The sequence below is a fragment of the Homo sapiens genome, chromosome 12 (genome assembly GCF_000001405.40).
Source record: "Homo sapiens chromosome 12, GRCh38.p14 Primary Assembly".
Taxonomy (NCBI): Eukaryota; Metazoa; Chordata; class Mammalia; order Primates; family Hominidae; genus Homo; species Homo sapiens.
Window position 1 is genome coordinate 34,053,382 of NC_000012.12, and position 4,893 is coordinate 34,058,274.

Genomic DNA, 4,893 nt, shown 5'->3' on the forward strand with positions numbered 1-4,893 from the left:
TAAAATCTCACAAATCACCACTAAAGAACATATTCATGTAACCAAATACCTCCTGTATCCCAATAACCTATGGAAAAAATATGAAAAGAAGGAAACAGCTAAGCAATGTGTTGAGAAAAGAGTATTTCAATGAGAGAGAACTTAAATGCACAAAGACCATGAGATATGTACAGACATTACCTCCTTTAATCCTCACTATGTTTCTGTAAGGGAGGTAGTGTTAGGCTAATTTTATAGATATCAAAATGGAACCACAGAACTAACACACATAAGATTACTTTGTCAGCTAGCAAACAGGATGCCATGTTATGAGCTCAGGAGTCTCTGACTACCACCAGCCTTCTCTTTCTGCACCCCCATGCTGCTTCATGGGATCTAAAGCACAACTTAAATGGATGTCACTGCAAGGAATTCCAGAGGAAGAGAGGTTCCTATCCCAAATATAGGTAAATCTCCTAGATGGTCCTGGTTCTTTGTTTTCTTTCTACTAATAAATATGCAAGAAAGACTTATTTGGATCTATTTGTTTAGTAATTCATTCAATAGATTTTTTGAGTGTCTATGATATAACTGTACTATTTGCATTTAAAGTTTGGAATGCAGCCATGGTAAATAGTATGAACTATTTTCTTTCAAGGAATTGAGAGTCGTTTTGTTTTTAGTATATTGTCTGGAAATCCTAGCAGTATAATCCGCTTTGCCAAAAGTTACATGGAAGGATATAAAACTATTATAGTTTTAAAGTCTTCCGGTCAGTTGGCTGAAAATTATCTGTAACATTTAATATCTGACTCTGTTTGGAAAGAAATATAGCCAACCACCTTTTTAAACCTCTTTTCGGTGTTTTGGGAAACACAAAGTTGGGATCTTTTCAATCATTTGCAAAATAAAACAGTATTTTTGAAGGCATTGATTTATATTTGATTTCAGGCATTGAATTGTTTTATTATTGAGACTGTCTCTGAACTCTGAGAAATTCCAAGGGAAAGAATTAAAAATCTTCAATTCAGCCTGGCCTAAATCTACTATTTTCAACCAATTTTTTTTTTCTGCTGTGCTTTCTTGCATATTTTCTGAATGGATAGATAGGACAATGATACAGCAGAAATAATGAATGTTTGTCTGCCACTTCCATTAAATATGTCAATGCTTTTATGAAAGGTAATCTATGGTTACTGAAGCCAATGCCTGTACTTACTGCTCAGTCATAACCATTCTCATACCTGGAATCTAAAGAGGTGGCATCAGTAATCTGTACACACTGAGTACATAATATTGCTCAGTGGAAAGAGAAATGCTGCTGTATATTACTCTACATTTTTCATAGTCTTTATAATGTTTTATATCTAAATGTATTATTATGTAGTTTCACTGATCAGTAAGAGAGCTAGATCATGTAGGCCTTATAAGAACGTTGGCTTTTACTCAAAGGGGATGAGAAACTATCGGGGGATTTTGAGTAGGGATGCCATCATCTGGCCTTTGTTTTTAACAGAACAAGTCTGGCTGCTGTTATGAGTGTAGATCAAAGGATGGATGGATAGAAATGAGGAGATGAAATAGGAAGCAGAGCAATAATTTTGATGGCAGATCATAGTGCCTTTGTATAGGGTAATAGAATATGCTAGAGCCTAGAATACAAGCATCAAGCTGTTATGAGCTTGGCATTTTTACCACTGTATCCCCAGGGTGTGGAATCATTTCTGGAGTACAGCAGGAGCTCAGTAATTCTTGCTGCATGCAGGAATGGATGGATAGATTGACAGTTTTTCACACTTCTGTCTTCTCCCCATCTGTTTGTTACTTAAGTTTTAACATCTAAGCTATTTTCCTCATCCTCACAGTTTTTAAACTAAAGCAAAAGTGAAACAAAAGCAAAACAGCCAAGTTTCTTCTAAATTTAATTGAATTCAACGAGTCTTTTTGTAAAGCACTTTTATGTGGTTTCTTTGGGCTATTAAGGACATCAAATGCCAACAGAATGTTCTAAGACTGTGAGATGAGATTGTTGCTTAGGGTCACAGCTATGCCACAGCACCAGAATTTACTTTAAAATTAAAATTGCTACATAGTTTTAATTTCCTCCTCAGAAGGGCAATAACCTTTCAATGAATCAGACTCGGCTTTTTCTGCTTACTATAAATGGAACCATGTGACCATTACATTACAAAGGGCATAAACGGCAGGCTATATTAGAAAAGTTTGGGGACAAGGAGCACAGGAATGTATTTGGCACACAACTTTTTTGTGTGATAAAGAAGAGAAATAAGAAGACATGCAAACAGTTGTATTGATATACATAAAGAAACACTGAATACATACAGAAGCAACTAAAAAGGCTGATTGCAAGGCTCAGAAGATGAATTGGATAGACAGGGCAAAATGTTTAATAGGGGATTGTTTTATATCATTTTGATGATCATGTAAATTATTACCTATTTAATTAGTACATAAATAAATAAAAATGGCATCTTTTAAATAGCTGTGGAGGGCAAGGGGGTGGGGACAGTAGGGAGGAAGGGCCTAGGGAAACTTGAAGTGAAGCAAGTGTTCGTTTTGCCACTTTTCCAGCCCTCATCAACTGCATTTGGAGATGAAACTTCTCAGATGAAGTGTATATGTGTTAATATTAGTAAATAATAACCAATCACATTTTTTCATCTTTTTTTCTTAAGGAATAAAGAAGCCTATATTCATAAGAATGCTGATTCTTAAAGGGCTAGAAAGGCCAGTTGAAGAAGGCCAGTCTGTAGAGATGCCTGGGAATTCTTTGATCTTTTTGGAGGCTAAAGGAAGTAAAATTCTGCTATGGAAATTGTCCTATTATATTTCTGCTTTCAAGAAGTGGCTACAAGATTATGAGGTTTTGCAATGTTGCCCTCCTAGTCCTGTGTACATTGCTGTAAAGACTCCCAGGCATGGAGGCCATCACTGGCACTGTTCCTCTCAGCAGTTATTTGGGTGTGAAGTTCCTCACTCCTGCAAGACTCAGCCTGAAGGAGCATGTCTACATGACCCACCTGCACAATCTCCCCACTTGTCAGTAACAGCTGTGAAATCTGCCCCTGTTGTCTTTAGGTAAGAAATTTCACCAATGACAGTAACATCTTACTCTTGTGTAGAGTTTTATATTTCTCAAAATGTTTTCACCTGTGTTATTTCTTCTTATGTATTCACAGAAACTGAAAGATGGAAAAGATCTCAGATGCTGTGACCCCCATGTAACAGATGGAGGAATTGAATCCAAGAGATGAAGTGACCACTTTGCCTAAAATCAAATAGCCATGTAGCAGCCGAGCTAAAACAAACATTCAGTCCTCCTGAATCCTAACTCAGTGATTTTCTCTTAATATCATATAATAACATCCATTGTTTTCCTGAGTCTCCCCTATCATTTTACTATTCTTCTTGATCCATTCATATTAGTTTTTTTTTCTTTTTTGGATTAAAGGTGACCTTAATCAAAATTTGATATTTACATAAGTATGATATAAAATAACTTATATCTATATTTAATAATTTCTTATTTTAGTTGATGCTTTCAAAAACTGCCAGAAAACAGATTTTTTTGCCACAAGCAGTTACAGTTTCATCTTCATATTCCCTCTCTTAACATGCTGAAAAATTAAGCATACATAGAAATGCTAATTAGAGTTGTCTTCCTTGTCAATGCTGTGATTTATATTTGACCTGTTTCCTATCAGATTTGCCACAAGCTAGAATCTTCTGAGGATTTCTGCTTCATATATATTCTCTACCATTCGGCAGACACTAATAAAGAGTGTCAAAATCCTGGCAAGAAAATGTTTCTTAAAGTCATAGCTGATGCTAGACACTAAGTAAGTCAAGTTTCCTATTCCATAGTGAAAAAGAAAAAAAGCTTTTACGTCTAAATTCAGTTTCAGTAAAAGGGAAAGCCTTATATCCAGGTCAAGATCCAATCCACTAAGATTTGAATCTATTGAGATATTATATCTTAGAATTCAGAGCTTAGCATGCTTAATATTTAGAAACATGTTAAAAAGTTAAAAGTGCTGCACAGTTAGAATGACTTCACTGCAAAGGTGAATATTTTCAAAGGATTCTGATTCCATTTTGACAGCTTTCTTTACTTGACACTCATAGGCCCCACACTTACTAAAGGGCTGAGTTGGTACCACAGCACTGAAAGGTACATCCTTTGGTTATTAAAAGGAGTATGATGAAAAGTGTTACTTGGGAACATGTGGGACTTCCTCTTGATTGATTAAAAAAATACTGTTTTCCTCCCTCACTGATAATCTCACTCCATGTTGCCAATATTATAGCAGTTTTCTGTATGATTTCTTACTTGAAAACGCTATGGTAGAAGTGAGAGTCTGAGTTTTTTTCCTGGCTCACTCTTAAATGTATCCCCAATATCTCTTTCATTTTCTAAACTGGGGAGGAAATTAGGACCCCAGCTTCCAACTATCTTAACTGTATTCAGTAAAACTTTTTTTCTACTTAAAAAATTATCTAAGTTAACTGGAATTGGAAATGTTTAAAAAAATTGAAAATAGAATCTTAAATAAATTTAGAAAGATCTCACTTTATCATTAAGAATACTAACTATAAATGTGATCAATAAACATTTTTTATTAAACACCAAATAATTATAAGCATTGGTTTATAATTTTACATGGCTCAAGCAAAATGAAAATTTTTAAATAAGATACAGAATATTTCAAATTTTCTCTTTCATTTTCTGCAAGGTATCTAGTCCTAATTTGGGAAAGCCAGAAACTTTCTGTAAAGTTATAGAGAAACTTTTTAAGTGTCCAGTGCCACTAAATTTTAGCATAGACATGTGCGCTGAAAAAAATCTAGAGTTATACCCAAGAAAATGTTTTTGTGCTAAAGTTTAAATTACAG

The 4,893-nt window shown here is 34.7% G+C and overlaps 1 long non-coding RNA gene across 1 annotated transcript; it reads left to right on the top strand.

Annotated features, from left to right (window-relative positions):
• Window positions 1-695: 695 nt before the first annotated feature.
• LOC124902915 (uncharacterized) lies at window positions 696-3,799 on the top strand. The gene is made up of 2 exons (XR_007063271.1): window positions 696-3,078; window positions 3,180-3,799. It is a non-coding gene; the product is annotated as an uncharacterized LOC124902915 (long non-coding RNA).
• The last annotated feature ends 1,094 nt before the right edge of the window (window positions 3,800-4,893 follow it).